General features: G+C 50.4%; 1 protein-coding gene and 1 long non-coding RNA gene across 4 annotated transcripts; one reads left to right on the top strand and one right to left on the bottom strand.

Moving 5' to 3' along the window:
- Positions 1 to 66: 66 nt before the first annotated feature.
- On the bottom strand, positions 67 to 2616 carry IL3 (interleukin 3). The gene is made up of 5 exons (NM_000588.4): positions 2403 to 2616; positions 2263 to 2304; positions 870 to 959; positions 704 to 745; positions 67 to 602 (listed from the first exon to the last, which is right to left on the bottom strand). Exons 1-5 carry the CDS (start codon positions 2562 to 2564, stop codon positions 480 to 482), a joined length of 459 nt encoding a protein of 152 aa, NP_000579.2. The 5' UTR covers positions 2565 to 2616; the 3' UTR covers positions 67 to 479.
- On the top strand, positions 380 to 15850 carry LOC105379174 (uncharacterized). Of its 3 annotated transcripts, none has more exons than XR_948785.3 (5): positions 550 to 631; positions 1655 to 1800; positions 9667 to 9756; positions 12592 to 12755; positions 14051 to 15274. It is a non-coding gene; the product is annotated as an uncharacterized LOC105379174 (long non-coding RNA). The 3 variants fall into 3 exon arrangements; XR_001742531.2 differs by having other exon boundaries at positions 559 to 631; positions 1663 to 1800; positions 14051 to 15850; XR_948784.3 differs by lacking the exons at positions 9667 to 9756; positions 12592 to 12755; positions 14051 to 15274 and adding an exon at positions 7378 to 7787 and having other exon boundaries at positions 380 to 631.
- Positions 15851 to 18308: the final 2458 nt, after the last annotated feature.

Below are 18308 nucleotides of genomic sequence, written 5' to 3'. Positions count from 1 at the left end.
ACACCAGTCTCCCTTAAAATGGTCACTAAGTCCCAAGTCAAATTGAGACACTGGTAACAAAGCAGTTGTTCAGAGTCTAGTTTATTCTCACACATCCCTAGGAACCAGTTTAAAACTCGAGGTACAAATGAACATGCTCCCCACCCCACTCTGAGTTTTTTGCAGAAGCAGCAGGACATGGCTCCTCTGCTAAAATAAATACAGTTCACACTCCAGGCAATAAATAAATAAATACATACATACATAAATAAATAGTCTCAATGGGATAAAAATGAGAACACAACCGCACAAGGCCAAATGGGAGCTGCACATTTCAGAAATTAGATAATTAACAATTCATCTGATGCCGCAGGAAAAGGTGAAATGCTTCTGGTCCTGGAATGTGTGAGAGATGACCCAGAGGTTTCAGAAGTTCTGCTGTTTTTGATGTCCCGAGGCTCTGTGGTGAGAAGGCCCAGAGAACGAGCTGGACGTTGGACTCAAAAGATCGCGAGGCTCAAAGTCGTCTGTTGAGCCTGCGCATTCTCAAGGGTTTTCAGATAGAACGTCAGTTTCCTCCGGAATTCATTCCAGTCACCGTCCTTGATATGGATTGGATGTCGCTATAAAGAAACCAAGAAGGTGGCATTAGGTGAGTCCAGGCTGTAATGGTGATGACCAGCTGAGGAGCAAGCCATGACGGGCATCTTGGGGGACAGCTTACCGTGGGTGCGGCCGTGGCCAGGGGCAGACATGGCAGGAGATTCTGTGGAAAGAGACCAAAGCAGATGGTCAGAGATTCCCTTGGAAAGGGAGTGGGCCCTGCTCTCCTCCCCAGAGGCAGGGCAGGGCCAACACAGGGATCCCAAACCCTCAACAGCTTCACATACTTTAAGAATGCTCTCAATTGCTGATGCGTTCTGTAAACTCTTGACAGCCCTGTTGAATGCCTCCAGGTTTGGCCTTCGAAGGTTATTTTCCTAACGGGGCAGAGAATACACTTAAGGGGGAAAGGTTACAGAGTATCCCTCCCACAAGCAGGTGGAAGTCACCCCCACAGTTTCCCAAGCCCACTGTTGGGGACATCCTCGGGTTCCCTCCTAGTCCCGTTCTTGCCTCAGGTGGGTCCCTGCCCAAGGGCACAGGCCTAGAAGTGAGTGGCAGGCAGGACCTGGTTTCCTCAAGCCCCCAGTCTCTGGCTCCATTTGAGCTACATAAAGGGCCTAGGTGGGCTGGGCGCAGTGGCTCAAGCCTGTAATCCCAGCACTTTGGGAGGCCGAGGCAGGCAGATAACCTGAGGTCGAGTTCAAGACCAGCCTGACCAATATGGTGAAACCCCGTCTCTACTAAAAATACAAAAATGGGAGTGGTGGTGCATGCCTGTAATCCTAGCTACTTGGGAGGCTGAGACAGGAGAATTGCTTGAACTCAGGAGGCAGAGGTAGCAGTGAGCTGAGATCGTGCCACTGCACTCCAGCCTGGGCAACAGAGTGAGACTCTTGTCTCAAAAAAAAAAAAAAAAATGGGTGGGGAGGGGGTACCTAGGTGGATCTTTCTGCACTTGGGGGAAAAAATATCTCCAAAAAGAAGCTCTACAAAAGACAGGGGGTTTTCCAAGGGAAGTATTTGTAGCTCAGAGGCTGATAACAGTGTTCATGCCCTGACTGAATTAAAGTCTCCTAGAAATCAAGAAGAAAATCACAGAGACCCCAGCATGGAAATGGGTGCAGCATGTGAGCTGTGAGTGCCCCAAACACAGATGGCCCAGGAACTCAGCAAAGGCTTCCACTTCTTGTTTGACCCAAGAAATGTCATGCAAAGGTGAGACAGAACAACTGCAACCAACTGGAACCATGAAAAATAACTGTAAATGATAATGCCACAGCCAATGAGGGTGGAAAACACAAACTCAATTTTTTAAGGGAAAAAGAAGCTGGCACATCTGAGGGGGAAATTTCTGTCTGTCAGTCCAGAGTCTGCCCTACCAAACACTGACCTTAAGGCCCTTGGTATTCCTCACCTAGAACTGCCTTTTCATTTTCTAATTTAAAAGTCATTTTCATTATTATAGCCATGGCTGTGGCCATGTATTGAACTCTTAAGTGCCAGATGCTGGGCCAGAACATGCACATTGTGCCATTTGATTGTCATAACAATCCCACTGAGATAGGTGCTATTAACCCTATTTTACAGATGAAGAAAGCAAGGCTAGGTAAGATGGAATGACATGGCTGAAGTCACCCAGGCAGGAAGTGGATCGGGATCCACGGGCTGAGCTCTTACCATCAGAATGTCTTGGTCTTCCCCATTGAGGTTGTTGAAGTCCTGTGGGGGTGAAGGGAGAGAAAGGCCCATGAGGCCTTTTGGCCTTAGGCAGCCACCACCCCTCACTGCTGCAGGCCAGTCTTATCCAAGCTACTCACCAGCAAAGGCAAAGGTGGCTGCTTTAAGTGTGTTATAATTTCATCGATCATGTTAGAGCAGTTAACCCAGCTTGTCTTCAAGGGCGTTGTCTGGGTCATGGGAGCTTGGAGTCCGGGGCGGACCAGGAGTTGGAGCAGGAGCAGGACGGGCAGGCGGCTCATGTTTGGATCGGCAGGAGGCACTCTGTCTTGTTCTGGTCCTTCGTGGGGCTCTGAAGAGTTGGCAACAGCCTCCCGCCTTATATGTGCAGCAGCAAGGTGCCCACAACCCCGGGCAAGGCGGGGGGAGGTGGTGGTGTGGGGCAGGCGTCGGAAGGATCTTTATCTGACATGGAACCTCCATAGAAAACCACAGACGTAATTATTCATCCATGACTTTCTAGTACTCAAGATCAGTGAAACAAGAAAAAAGATTACTTAAACGGTATCACTTCATCTTGTCAAGGAGGATGAGAGATGGGAAGCATGGCAGCAGGTGAGAGGACCCCTGTGGCAGGAAGGGGAAGCCTGACTCAGCTCACTGAGGCCTCCTGCCCAGTGGGATCTCATCTGCCATCACCTGGACTACCCTGGCCCTCTGCTGCCCGCCCTGCTTGGTCCTGGTGGGTGGCCAGGAGGCCACTGGAACAGATGAGAGTTTGTCTGGTAGCCGGTCACGCTGCTAAACATCCACGTTCAGCCTCAGGCTCTGAGAAGCACATCTCTTGGTGCCGCTTCCCAATACAGAATTACTGGTGTTCCAGTCCCCAGTGGTTTGTCCCATGGGCTTCGGGCAGCTTCTCCTTGACACTTTGTTTCTGGTGGATGGCCGAGGGCGCTCAGGCCCCAGGTGGCCATTCTCTTACTGGTCTGCTAGCAGTGGCATGGCTGTTCCCTGCGTGTGGGACTCAGCCTCTGCAGGAGGCCCGGCTGCAGCCCCTGGCAGTCCCTCTGGTAGCACCGAGAGCTGAGCTCAGGTACCTGAGGACACTGTCACTGGGAGCTGGGGGAGGGGCTGGCCTGGGAGGTTTAGGAGGCAGAATTGGCATGGTCTGAGGGGTGAGGTCAAGGGAGGAGAAAGGAGAGCAACTCCCTGGTTTCAGACTGGGCCTCAGGCTGCTGGGGCAGGGATTGGCAGGAGACAGTTGTATTGAGAGGTCTTGATCCCCGTCTGTGCTGAGCATGGATTTGCCAGGTGCAGGCCCAGTAGGCAAGGTTTGCAGAGAGGGGATGTGAGTGGGGACAGACCATGGGGAAATCCACAAGGGACCTGAGAAACTGCAGCCAGATAGGAAGCAGGAAACCCAGAAGGGCGGGGGTGGTTATCCCAGAGGGCAGCCCCTGAGAGAAGAGGGGTCCTCCTGATACGGGCCTGTCTTGGGGCCTGCCTGACCCACCCCATGGGGTAGGGGCTTTTGGTAAAGGGATGAGTGTGACAGGGGCATGTGGAAGACTTCTTCAAGATGACTGGCCCCGGGTGGGAGGGAGAGGAGAGCAGTAAGGAAAGGCCAGGGTCTGGGTCATGGTGCGGTGTGTTGTGATCAGTGTGGGGGATGCGGGATAGGAGGTTATGCTGAGGCAGCGGAATTTGGGTGCTTTGGGCTTCTGAGCATAAGCAGATCAGGTGAAGACAAGGACCAGGATGTGGCTGTGGGGAGGCAGGTGAAGAGGCTGTGACTCAAGGCCATGCTGTGAGGATGATTTCTGTAGCTGATATGCCCTCCTGGCTCAGCCCCAGGCTGGGCCCTGGACCAGGAAGAGCCCTAGGTTCTGGACCCGGAGTGGAGTCTGACAGGCACAACTCAACACACAGAGGGGAGCCTTAGCACCAGCTTGCGTACTCCGTAGGCACAATTCATTCAACAGACGTCTACAAAGCACTTGCTGTGAATAAAACAGACATGGTAACCTCCACTAGCAGCTCAGTCTTGTGAGGAGACAGATTTCCAGTCTTGCTACCCTTCCTGTGGTCCCAGACCTGCAGGTCAGCCCTGCCCGGGAGCTTGTTAGCGGTGTCAACCCTCAGGCCCCAGCCCAGACTTTCTGAATCAAAAATCGCATTTTGATAAGATCCTCAGTGATTCAGTGCATTTGAGGGGCTCTGATCTAACTACCTCAGCAATCTTAGCTCCGGTAGGGTCCCCTATTGCCCCACGGACCCAGAGTTTGTTCCTTGCATACTCAACTGTACCTTGGTGTTACTGTCTATGTAAACGTTTTGGGGACTTGTGCACAAATAATGTGATTCCTTACAGAGAAAAGCTGTATTTTTTTTAGTGTAAGTGGGCTTTTCTAGGGAATTTTAAAGTTCAATGAATTTAAAGCTGTGGAGACAAAACATTCCTGTATTTTTTTTTGTTTCTTTAAAAGTCAAGACTTTGTGTTGTAACCACACATGCACACAAAATCCTGAATAGTAGTATTGTAAATCTTGACATTTGTAGTGTTTTTCTCATTTTAAAAATGAATATATACCAGCCTGAGCAATTTGGCGAAACCTCATCTCTACAAAAAATACAAAAAATTAGCCAGGCGTGGTGGTGCACACCTGTGGTCCCAGCTACTTAGGAGGCTGATGTGGGAGGACCACCTGAGCCTGGGAGGTCAAGGCTGCAGTGAGTTGTGATTGTGCCACTGCACTCCAGCCTGGGCGTTGGAGTGAGACCATCTCTCCAAAAAAATTATATATATACACATAGTTTATTAAAGGCAAAAGAGGTTGAGGCTTCATGCTAGGAGCATTGGAGGACTTGCGGGGTTTTCAACCAGGGGAGGCGAGGTGAAGCTCAGGTGCACCTGCTGTGGGGGAAAGGATGAGAAAGTTCAAGGCAGCAGGGTGGCCAGTGAGGAGATATTGGGAGTCCTCTGGAAGACAGGTGGTGGGAAGCTGGACTAGGTAGGTTCTTACGGGGTGGAGAGGACTGGGTGAAGGGAAGCGCTCTCACAGCTGACTTCTATTGAGTGGCACTTGTGAAGTGTGGAGAACTAAGTTCTTTTCATGGCTGAACTTGTTAATCCTCATGATGAACTGTGAGGCAGGTGCTGTTATTAGCCCCATTTTCCAGATGAAGAAACTGAGTCTCAGAGAAGCTGAGCTGATGTAGCTAGGAAGTGACATCACTGGGACTGAGATAAGCAGAACAGTCCAACCCAGAGGCTGAGCACCCCCTGGGCAGCATCGGACAATGACGGCCTTAAAGGATGATGCCATGTGGCAGGAGGGGACAGCAGGGTGAGGATGAGATGTAACCACTCTGATTACTGACGGGGAGATCCCTGAGGCCTCTGGCGGAGTAGTTTCAGTGTATGGTGGGGCAAAGCCTCTGGCAGTGGGCTGAGAAGCGAGTGACGGTGAGACGGAGGGTAGAAGATTCTTTGAAGTTTTATTTTGAAGGAAAGAGGGGGATGGGGCAGCCAGAGGAGTCACAGGGTCAGAGACGCACCTTCCACACAGAAGTTTGAGCTCCTTCCTCTCTTAAGGAGGTGAGCCGGGAATGGGTGAGATGGCTGGCCGGCCAGCACAGGCAGAGCCCCACCATCAGCTGTCACGGGCTCCTCGCAGAGAGCTCAGGGAAGGGCTGCCTGGGTGGCCCAGTCCATCTGGGTGGGGTAGGTGCAGTGGGGTGGGCCTGGTTGGTCCACAGGTTTGTGGTGGGAGGGGACAATGGCTTCTGTGTTCTCTGTGAAATAGAGGTCAAGTCAGCCCCTGAGGTGGGGCTAGAAGCAATAAGGGTGGTGAGGTTTGGTGGCTTGAGCTGTGACTACCTGGAGGTGACCTTGAGGGGCTGGCAGCCTGGGGTCAGAGGGCGAGGAGGTTGGGAGGACCCAGGGCCTTGGCAGGCAAGAATATGGAATGGAAGGCCCCAGAGGCAGGGAGTGGGGCCATGGGAGGAGGCTGGGATGGGCAGGGAGGCCAGCTGGGCAGAGCAAAGGAGGCAGGAGGTGGTGCAGCCCCGGACCCCGGAGAGGCCCAGTGACTGCAGCCCAATACCTGCTGCCGTTCGATGAACCAGGGAGGAATGGAGGGACATGTTCCTAAAAGCAAACCTCATTCCAAAGGGGCTGCCAAGGATATCTGGGTAGTTGGCCACCACAGCGCTTCCGTGAGCCCTTGGACCGAGGCATAGCCTGGGTCATCCTGGGGGTCTCCTTCAAGGTTTGCCTTGACTCTATAGGAGCTTCATGCAAAATCATGGGCACCACTTCCCTCCTCCAGAGGCGACAGTCCTGCCAGCCCTTGAGGAGAGACCTGGTCCCCTGTAAGATGGTGATTCCACCCCAGGCCTTTGTGTCAACCCAGCCCGGCTTAGGGGAAACCTCCTTTGTGGGCTGGGCTGATTGCTATCAAGAAGGGAAATGAGCACACGTGCCCACCCCTGGGGCAGGCATGAGGGAGGGTGTGCCAGGGCCCGGACAGGAGAGCCAGCCCAAGACTGCAGCCCAGGGTCTGCCAAAGCCCTGGAGGTTTCAGGAGGGGTCTCTGGACCCCTGTCTAATGGATCCCTGTGGGCCTGACCCCATCCCTATGGAGTGGGCCACATTGTTGGAAGTCCTGGCCCTCAGGGTCCAGTCCAACTAGAGGTACATGCCTCCTTCTTCCCATCACTCACCCCCACAGGCCTAGTGGAATTTTCTGGGGTACCCGCCACAGGCAAGAACCTGGGCCTCAGTCACTGTGACAAGCTCCTCCGCCACCCTTTCCATGGCATCACAAGTGTCAGATTTAATCTGCCCATGACCTCGGTTGTATTTCCGCTGGTGGCCCTGATGACATCGCCTGGTTTTGTCACCACAGAAGGCAGCTCAGGGTTCTTGGCCAGCCAAGCAGTGCAACCAGATGTCCCCTGCTCACCTGAGCAGAGAGCTCAGGAAAAAGCCACCGAGCGGGCCCAGCTGGAGAGCCCTGGCCTCCTGTCCCAACCTGGCTCTGCACTCCATCCCCAAGACCTACACAGCCTCCACCTGTGCACCCTCGCCTTTCTATTCCCTGCTGCAGGGTCATGGCTTCCTTGGGGCCCAGTCGGTGCAGAGCAGACCCTCCATCCCAGGCCCAGTCTAATAGAGAAGACAGTTGGAGAATCCCCATTTAGAATGATATGCCTGTGGGAGACAGAAGCCCAGAAATGAGGCAGCCTCATCCAGCCTGCACCATCAGAGAAGACAGGAGGAAAGGACAGCTATGACCTAAAGGATGATCTGGAGCCAGGCAAGCCACAGAAGAAGTGTTCCCTAGGGAGTGCTGGGTTTGGGGCTGCAGGTGCTCCATCTGTTGGCCTCAATCCAGGGCTCCAATATCTGGATACCTGGGGTGGCCATATGGTTCCTATTGTTATTAATAAGTTATGGGCTTTCAGTGTCTGTCACTCTCTTGTTACCCACCTGAAATACAAAGCTTTGGAAGATGCATTCCTATTGCATTTATCATATCTATCGCAGACAAAACCAAGAGCTCCCCGTTCTCAAAGAAGCTGCCCCCAAACTGTGAGGTGACAAGGTTGGGGCATAAATGCTAAGAACCTGGCAGTCCAGGCCCTCAGGAAATGCTCTCTTAAGTGGGGGAGACTTCACATGGAGCATTAGTTGTGTAGATGATGTTGCCATGCGAAGTCTTGTCTGCCTCCCAGGGAGAGAGGGGAAGGGCCGGCCTGGGTGGGCAGCTGCAGGTCAGAGCTGTCCAGGGAAGGACAGGACCAGATGCTAGCTAGGCAGGGGCACAGACAGACCCAGGTGAGCTCAGAGCCAGGCTGCCTCTCAGCCGTGCCTGCTCTGTCTTATCTTCCTTGGTGAGGTGAGGAGAAACCTTTTACATTGTTTCCAGCCTTACTGATCTTTTCTTTACAGAAAATGATGAATAAGTTGATGTGTTTGTCGTGGAGGTTCCATATCAGAAAAGAGTATCAGTCCACTGGGGCTTCTCCCCACACCTCATCATCCCCCCCAACCCCCACACCCCCTGAATCTCCTGCACCGCCCTCACCCGTGCTGGGCCTTTACAGAGGATGTGGGCCAGGCCACTTCAGATCCACACAGGTTAGGGAAGACCACGGTACCTCCAAGCAGTACAGATATGTGGAGACCGTTTTGCCTCCCCCTCCTCCTCATCCTTCTTCCTCTCAGCCTCCAAAAGCCCCTACCCACAATGGCCATTAGAATCCAGACTAAAGACAACTTCTTGAACATCATCCTTGAAATCCAGTGGCAACTGAGCACGCCCTCTATGAGTAGCTGGTGCCAGATGGGCACAGGGTAGGAACAGCTCCGCTCGGCCCCAGGCCAGGCACTCATGGGTTCTTGCTCTTCCCCTGCAGAAAGGTGAGATCCAGGAGCAATGGATCCTGAGGTGGGCACACAGCCCCGAAGTCCCACTGCCCTCCCTACCAGTCGTCACTGCCATTGTATTGCTGGTCACTGCTCTGGGCTTGGGCACATTTGGGTGAGGCGCACCTGCAGGGTCACACTGGAGTCAGCCTTTATCTGGCATCTTCACTGCAGATGCATCCACCAGCCTATTCTTTGCCTCATGGAGGATGTGCGTGGTAGATGTTCTTTGCCAAGTGTGGGAGTTGTAATATTCACATTGGCACAGCTGGCTTCCTTCTTTTTGCATCCTGGAAGCTGGTTCAGAAAGTGCCCGTATACCCCAGGCCCTTGCCCAGTGCATCTGGAGCCAGGAGGCATGATGGTCCCTGCCCTGCCGGCCTGTGTCAGACTGTGCTGTGACCCGCTTGGCTGCTGTGCTCCTAAAGCAGCTGGGTTCCTCCTGGGGCCTGGGCAGGACAGAGCTGGGGGAGGTGATGGGGGAACTAGTGAAGGCCACCCCAGAAAGGAGGCAGGGGAATGGCAAACAAGGCCACAAGGACAGCCCTTCCTGGCCGTACCACACACACTTGGCCCCTGTAGAACACCACCTTTCTGAAGCCTAACCTGGCTGCCTTACTGAACACCTCAAAGCTCTTTAAACCTCATCTTCTTTATCCATTTGGAACAATCCAAAGATGATTGAGGTGTGTGAGGCTGGGGAGCGTCCCTCTGTCACTGGAGTCTCTGTGTTCCCAGAAGAGCCCGTTCCGGGTCAAAGTACCTGCCCTTGTCCTGCCCTTTCCCAAACAGGAACAGCATTTCCACTCCACCTCTGCCCCCCAGGTTCTTCCCCTCTCCACTGCCAGCAGCCCCTCCAGGGCTGGGCCAGGGCCACCACCCAGGACCTTCTCAGTCTTTTCAAAAGGCCCTCCTGGTCTATTTGGCTTCCAGAAGCTGACTGGCCTCTTTTGTCTCTGGCCCACAGGAACTCCTGCAAACCTTGCCCATCTCCACACCTACACCCCAGGGAAGCTGCCACCTGGGCTGGGATGCCCACTGCCCCAGGCTGAGCAAGGTACCTGCCACGACCCTTCCACCTTCTCTACACCTGACCCAATGTTCTGGTTTCTTCAAGGGAAAAACAGCGGCTGCACATCGAAGAAAGCAATTCTAATAACTTGTTGAATAGCTTCCCGAGAACCCTGGGTGATGTTGGGCTCTTGCTACCAACCAAATCTCTCATGCCTTTGTTCAGGCTCTTGAACTCCCAGGCCTGAGAGCTGGGCTCAGGTCCTGGGTCACCAATATTCCTTCTCGATATCCCAGGAATACTCCACTCCTTGTTACAGACGTTGGCAGTTGAAAGTTTAGCTCTGGAATGAGCCGCTCAGTTTTCATCTTGGGGATACTGACAATCATGTGTATTTATGTTGCAGATTACTTAACGGTTATTCACTTTGTTGTGAAAATATTTTATTTTATTAAGGGAGCCCTCTTAGGAGCCTCTGAGCAGAGCTCAGAGCGGGTACGAGAGCATCTACATTTCTCTCTCAGGTTTCAGTAAATTCCTTCTCCTCTGGGAAAGTGAGCACTTTGTAGAGGGTCCCTTTGTCAGCAGTGCTGCATTTCTAGAAGGCTTCTCCATTTGACTTGGGTCTGGGTTGCAATTTCCACACTCCACAGTTAATTTCTTTCATGCCACAGCTTGGATTCCTCTCAGGACTCTGTCTTTGGGGATTTTCCTGGTATTTCCCTAGCTTATGCCCTGAGTGGGCCCACCCAGACCCTGCTCGTTCTCCCTGGCTCAGTCACCCCCATCACTCCCGCTCCACCTACTCGCTCCTCTCCCCACTGCCCACACGAGCCTCTGAAGGCCTCTCTGCGCCGTCTGCTTCTCATCGCTCCCATGGACTCCCCCATCCTGGTCCAGGCCTGGCCGCCTTGGTTCTCACCACAGCTCTCAGGCCTGGGTTCTGCCACTGCATGTCTCCCAGTTGTCAGAGCAGCCTTTCTGGACACCTCTCTGCTCACGTCACCTCTGCTGTTGGCCCTCCACTGATTTACGGTTGGTTCCCTGGTACCAGGACCCAGGAGACGAACAAGCCAGTTTTCTTCCTGTGGAAATCCCCACTGAGGATTCCTAGGGCTCCTTCCAGTCCAGGGAACAATGGGTCTTTTTTATTTTGGGATCCCTGCCCTGCCAAAACTCCCTCACCCCTATTTAAGACTTTGATTCTCTCTTTCCCCTCCTGCCCTCCTCCACCTCCTTGGAACTATCCCCGTGGGTCTACTGGATAAGAAGCATGCGACCCATACCATGTGAGATGAAACGTGCCCCCACTTTCTTTTTTCTTTTCTTTTTTTTTCTTTTGAGACGGAGTCTCACTCTTGTTGCCCAGGCTGGAGTCCAGTTGCACAATCTCGCCTCACTGCAACCTCTGCCTCCTGGGTTCAAGCGATTTTTGTGCCTCAGCCTCCCGAGTAGCTGGGACTACAGGTGCGTGCCACCACACCCGGCTAATTTTTGTATCTTTAGTAGAGATGGGGTTTCACCATGTTGGCCAGGCTGGTCTCAAACTCTTGACCTCAACCTGATCCACCCGCCTCGACCTCCCAAAGCGCTGGGATTATAGGCGTGAGCCACTGCTCCTTGCCCCAGTTTCTATACTCTAAAACCCTGCCATCAGTCTCCATCTAAAGGACGCCAACTACAGACACCAGGCAACTGCAGTGTTGCCTCCTTACTAGTTAACTGTCCACTAGAGCCATCTGCCTATTCTGTTCTAAACTGCCCCCTCAGTGTTGGGTAACAGTTTAACAGGATGCTAGGTAGGATTTTACCAACTGCCCTGGAAAAGACAAGCGGCACCCAACCACGTGCCTCTGAGCCAGGAAGAAACTGTTCAGACAGAGGACCCTAGAGCCTTCTACCCTCCCACCATGTGGGGGAGAAAGGACATAGGGTTTCCCGTCCCCTAAGTGGACGCCTAAAAGTTAGAGGGCTTAAACCTCTGATTAAGAGGGTTGCCTTCCAGGCAAGGGGACCCATCAGGCAGAGGTTGCAGGACAACCACAGGGTCCAGAGCAGGGGGGCTCAGAAGAGGCCACACCATGGGTTTTCCCTTGATGGGGAACTGTGAGGAGGGAGATCTCTGCTTGTTCTTATGGAAAGTCCTGTAGGATGCATACACATGCCCCATGGGGACCCATCTGTCAGACAGCCTCACAGCCAGACACAGCCAGTCCAAACAGCAGCAACAGATCAGAGGAGGACGATAGTGTCTGTCATGTAAGAGACAGGTCTCTTTCCACCCTCTTCTTCCCTGCCCCAGTACACCATGGAAGAAAAGGTCCTAAAGAGGGAGGAGAGAACAGAAAGGCCAGACCATGCCCTCCCCTGCACCCCCATTTCAGCTGTCTGTGGCCAGTGCTGGTCAGCCCGGGGGAGGGGAAGAGACGGGCGTCACATTGGAAAAGAGATTGAGGCTCTAAGCTGTGCTGGATTTTTTTTTTTAATGCTGCAAGTGACTCCAGAATTGGGAATCTGCCCTAGAAGTTGACCAGGGTCAGGAGTGAGTGGCAGGAAGGGACACAGTTGTGGCTGGTGATTGGAAAAAACAAAGTGTTCTGTGTGTGCCCCCCAGGTTCCAGGCATGCCACAGCACGTGCAGGTGTAGAGCACCTAAACCAGCTGCCCACGGCCCTGCCGCAGCTCCCCCATGCCCTTCACTCAAAGCCAGCTGTTCCCATGCACCTGCCTCCCCATTCAGATGCCTGACTAACCTTTCCCCAAGGAGACCTGTCGGGTGTGGATAACCTTCCATTCCTGCTAAAGTGGAAGTCCCTGAGACTGAGAGAGGAGAGTTTGGACAAATGTTCACTGCTCTGACGCACACACATCTTCCTCCAGGGCACTTCTTTGGGGAGCTAAAATCCTTCAGCCCCTGGACCATCACCCTCTTTTCTCAGAGAAAGCCCTCCTCCCAGGCCTGCTCTTTCATCAGTACTCAGCTCAAGAAGATGCCAGAGGTCTTCTCCTTTGCAGAGCCTGGATCCACTTTCTCAAATCCCCAGGTAGGGCCCCCTATCTCAGGCCTGGATACCTGGCTCAGGAATTGTGGGCGCAGGGGTGATGCCCACCCCCTACTGCTTGGTTTCCAGTCCATACAGTGGGTAGCTCCGAGTTACAGCAGCAAGGGAAGTGTGACAAGCAGCCTGGAGCATAAGTGCCAAGAGCCCTGAGTAGTGGTCAGAGAAAGAGGAAGCCACAGGGCCCCAGATCACGGGAGTGCTGTGTGGTCCCAGCAGGCTGGGGCTCGGGTTGTATGTAATTGGGCATTAAGGGGAGAGTGACCCAGAAGTCTGGAGGACAGTGTTCCATGACACAGGCCTGGACCACACAGGACGGGTTTCACTGCACCTCTTCATGTAAGCTCTGCATTCTACAGACTTTGCACCTTCTGACAGTGTCCACTTCTGGGGTAAAGGAGCAGGCCCATGAGAATACCTCGGGGCCCTTATAAACCTTACTCCTGATGCAGGGAGTGGGGGCTGCAGGGCTCTGTGTTTCACATGACTCCAGGACAAGCTCACTTGCCTCTTACTCAGAGCTCTCCAGAGTGCTCTTCCCAGATAATCACGCACATTGAGTTTTCCAAAAGGGATTTGAGCTTTAGCGGTAAGAGGGTCATAAGCCAGACCTCGACATGGGCTGAGCGCAAGAGTGTATCATCCAGGAGGAAAAGTGTCTTTCTGTAATTCGCCCACTTAGAGGGCGAATTCTCACCCATGCAAAGGCACCTCATGCATGCTAGCGGAGATCGGCTTTGCTTGGCTCGTTGCTGTTGCCATCCTTTAATTTACATAGCTTCTGCGGTGAGCAGGTCTAACGCACACCCACCCCTGAAGGCCAAGGGAGCTGAGAGGCTGAAGTAATAAGAGGCTGAAGTAAAAGTCTGACAAGTCCAGTTTTTCAGAAAGAAGCATTTAATAGGGACTTAGGAACGGAAGTGATGTCTCTGGCAGCCAAGACAGTAGGTCCCCACACTTGTCCTCCAGAAAGTACTCTTAATACGGCAAGCTTTAGGATAAATGCATGTGCAACTGTTCATATCTTAGACACTCTTGTGAAACTCCTAACCTCTGGGGGAGTTAGATAAGCATCTTTACAATGGTTTATCTATACTACACGCATTGTTTCTTGACCTTGCTGTCGAACACCTTGGTATGCAGGAGTCAAACGTCAGTCACAATGGTGGTTTTGCTTCAAGATGGCATCACTCTTGCCATGCAACAGGCTATTTTCCTACACGTGGCTGCAATTATGGGGATTATAAACTCCCTGCTCACTGTGTGTATTTCCCCTGCAGGCACCCAGAGGCAAGTAGGGCAGAGACATCTTTGCTGAAGGCCCTGTGAAGCCCAAGAGCACAAGAGATTTGCCCTGGCCTGAGGGGGCTCCCAGTACAAAGGACTTTTAGCTTTAAAAAACCAGGATGGGTCCAGGCAAACCTCACTGTAGTGAGGATCTCTATGCTGTCCCTGATTGGTGAGTCTCTCGTCTATACATAGAACCTTACATTTGGCTTCATTTGTAGGAGTTTAGTTTGAAACATTTACTTTACTATTGAGCACTAACGTTTTCCAAGCATTTTCTTGCATACTGGATCTCGCAGGTTTGCGATGGACTTTTTCAACTCTGAAAACTTTCTGATTTATCCACTGAGTCACATTCTTGTCACTCTACTGAACATGTACAGTATTCCATGAGGCTGGGATGAGGTTTTAGCTGCTATTGAAAAGCCCATGGCCTGGAATGACCACACTTCATTTCTGCAGAGATGCCTGTGCCAACAGGGCCAAGAGGTCACTGACAGCAGGTAGGAGATGGATTTGGAGTTCCTGGGTCTCTCTCTGGTCTTGGTAATTGTAACTGTACTGGCCTCTCCAACGGTTGTTTTCTTAACTGAAATTGCCGTAGTTTTTCACTTTGAAACATCTAGGCTGTATTCACACACCAATGTTTATAGTGGCTGTCTTATCCCGTTAGGGCTGCTATAATAAAATACCATACTGAGTGGCTATTCAGAACAGAAATTTATTTCTCACAGTTCTGGAGGATGGAAGCTCAAGATCAAGGAACCAGAAGATTTGGTGTCCGGTGAGGACCCACTTTCTGGTTCATAGACAGCCATCTTCTTGCTATAACCTCACATCGAAGAAGGGGTAATGGAGTTTTCTGAGGTGTCTATTATAAAGGCCTAAGCTTATTCATGAGGGCTCTGCTCTCATGACCTGATCACCTCCTAAAGTCCTCACCTACAAATACCAACACATTAGGGCTTAGGTTTCAACATAAGAATATTGAGGCATAGATATTCAGTCTGTAGCTGCAGCATTATTCACAATAGCCAAAAGGTAGAAACAACCCAAATGTCCATCAGTAGATAAATGGATAAACAAAATGTGGTGTGTATATAAGTGGAATATTACTCAACCTTAAAACGAAAGGAAATTCTGACATGTGACAATATGGATGAACTTTGAAGACATTGTGCTAAATGAAATCGGTCAATACAAAATGACAAATATTATATGCGTCTATTTATTTATTTATTTAGTTAGTTATTTGAGACAGAGTTCTCACTCTGTTGCCCAGGCTAGAGTGCGGTGGCGTGATCTTGGCTCACTGCAACTTCCACCTTTCAGTCTCAAGCAATTCTCATGCTGCAGCCTCCTCCTGAGTAGATGGGACTACAGGCATAAGTCACCATGCCCGGCTAATTTTTGTATTTTTAGTAGAGACAGAGTTTCAGCATGTTGGCCAGGCTGGTCTCAAACTCTTGACTTCAAGTGATCTGCCTGCCTCAGCCTCCCGAAGTGCTGGGATTACAGGTGTGAGCCACCACTCTCAGCCTGCTTCCACTTATATGAGATACCTAAAGTATTTAAATTCACAGAGCTAGAAAGTAGAGTAGTTGTTACCAGGGGCTGGGGGCTGGGGGATGAAGAGTTAATATTTAATGGGTACAGAGTTTCAGTTTGGGAAGATGAAACCATTCTGGAGGTAGATGGTGGTGATGGTTGCACAACAATGTGAATGTACTTCATGCCACTGAATTGTACACTTAAAAATGGTTATGTTACGTATATTTTATCACATGAAAAAAGTCTAGTCTGGATGTTTTCTCAATAGACCCTGAGACTCTTTCCAAGGTTTCCCATAGAGACAGCACCCAGCCAATCCCAGCATCCTCCCCACCCTGACCCCTAGTCCTCCTTAGCCTGGGGGCCTTGCCCCCTTGAGATCTGATGAACGACTCTTCATGTTGAGACCCCAGTTCGTGGTCCCTACTCTGGATGGCCCTCTCAGCCTCCCTACCACCTAGAAGGCAACACCTATCCTCCTGCGGGACTCCGCTGTACCGGCAATCCTCCCTTTTTGTTTGTTAAGGTGTCATACCAGCCCTGGAGGTTTCCATGGAGAGGCCATGTCTATATCCTCTCTAGCACTAGGAGGCCTGGGCAGGGGTTGGAGCACATACTGGGGTAGTAGACACCAGGCAGGCACCTTGTTAAGATGGCTCTAGAGGCTGGAAAACTGTAGCTCACAGCAGGATATGGCACAGCCCCAGGCTCCCCTTGAAATTCGTACTCTACATTTGACATTTGCGAAAGTCAGTTAAGTAGATTTGCATTTTCCATGGAGCACCCTCAGGGTGGGAGGAAGAAAGGCCCAGTGGAAAAAGCAAGGGTTCTTGCCGTCTTGCCAAACTCTCTTCATTCTAAAAGTTTTTCAGATTCTCTTTGGTTTTCCAGTATTTTAAGTGCAAGAAACATAGTTTTACTTTATTTTATTTTTTAATTAAAAAAATAGAGCACAAATGCATGCAGAAAAGAGCATAAAACATGTAAATAAAACCTAATTAACCTAATTTAACAAGTAATTATAAGCAATCACCCATTTAACCATGCTTAAGTCAAAAAAAAATCGCCAACGCTCCAAAACTCTCCCCATATTTGTCCTCTAATCGTGACTGCTCGCCCTTAGAGGTAACCCACTCACCTGTCTTTTATGATGATTGCTTCCTTGGTTTTCTTTTCTTTTTCTTTTTTTTTTTTTTAACCTGGATCTCTGGCAATTTTTTTCTTCCTTGGTTTTCTCTGTAGCTTTGTCACTTACTTACACATTCCTAAACAATACAGTTTTGTTTTGCCTGTTTTTAAACTTTAAATAAATAGATTGGGGTTGTTTTCGGTACATAATGCAAACAAATCTGCTGTGAACATTATCTTGGTACACGTATATATGAATACATTAACATGTATTTATTAAACAGAATAATACATCACACTCCCCACCCCCAAAAATGTTCATGTCCTAATCCCTGGAACCTGTGATATGTTATTTTACATGCAAAAGGAGCTTTTGCAGATGTGATTAAGTTAAGGGTTTTGAGATGGGAAGATTATTCTGAATTATCCAGGTAGGCCCAATGGAATCACAAGAATCCTTGTAAGAGGGAATTAGGAGGGTCAGATCTAGAGAAGGAGACATGACAATGGAAGCAAAGGAGAGAGAGAAATTTTTAAACACTACACTGCTGGGCTTAAAGATGGAGGGAGGGGCCATGAAGCAGGAAATTCAGGAGGCCTCTAGAAGCTGGAAAAGTCAAAGAAACAGATTCTTCCAAAAGGAATGCAGCCCTACCAATACATTGATTTTAGGATTTCTTAGCTCTAGAACTGTAAGATAATAAATGTGCATTATTTAGCCACTAAATTTGTGATTATGCATGTGTATATGTGCACATGCACACATACACATAGGACTGAAATTGCTGAATTAATCACGGGATATATTCACTTTCCTAGATAATGTTAATTTCACAAACATACAATTTATACTTCCATTAGCAGTATTTGAGAATTCCTTTTGCTCCACATCCTTGCCAATACATTAAATTGTCTGAAATTGCCAATTTTTTTTTTTTTTTGAGAAAAGGTCTCACTGTGTTGCCCACGCTGGAGTGCAGTGGCAGGATCTCAGCTCACTGCAACCTCTGCCTCCTGGCTCAAGCGATTCTCCTGCCTCAGCCTCCCAAGTAGCTGGGACTATAGGCGTGTGCCACCACGCCTGGCTAATTTTCGTATTTTTTGATAGAGACAGGGTTTCACCATGTTGGCCAGGCTGGTCTCAAACTCCTGACCTCAAGCGATCTGCCCACCTTGGCCTCCCAAAGTGCTGGGATTACAGGCATGAGCCACCATGCCCAGCCCAAAATGTTTTCATTTATACCAATCTGATATGCACAAATGTCCTCAGCACAGCACAGTTGCTCTACCAAAATGTAGCCAGACAACTTCTTTAAGTAGGTCCCTGATCCATTCCCCTTCACTATGTGGGACCTCCCAACTGGGGCCTCTAGTCACCCCCAACAGAAATTTGAATTCTTTCTCTTATTGTGGTTTAAATTTTCCTTGATCTGATTATGAGTGAGGTTGAGAACCTTTTATTGATTATTTGGATTTCCTGTATTATAAAGTGCCTGTTCAACCTTTGTCTGGCTTTCTATAGGATTGTCTGCACTATTTTTTTTTTCATAGAGACAAGGTTTTGCTGTCGCC

The sequence above is a fragment of the Homo sapiens genome, chromosome 5 (genome assembly GCF_000001405.40).
Source record: "Homo sapiens chromosome 5, GRCh38.p14 Primary Assembly".
In the NCBI taxonomy this organism is placed as follows: Eukaryota; Metazoa; Chordata; class Mammalia; order Primates; family Hominidae; genus Homo; species Homo sapiens.
Note: the sequence above shows the minus strand (reverse complement) of the source record. Positions and strands in the feature narration are given on the sequence as shown.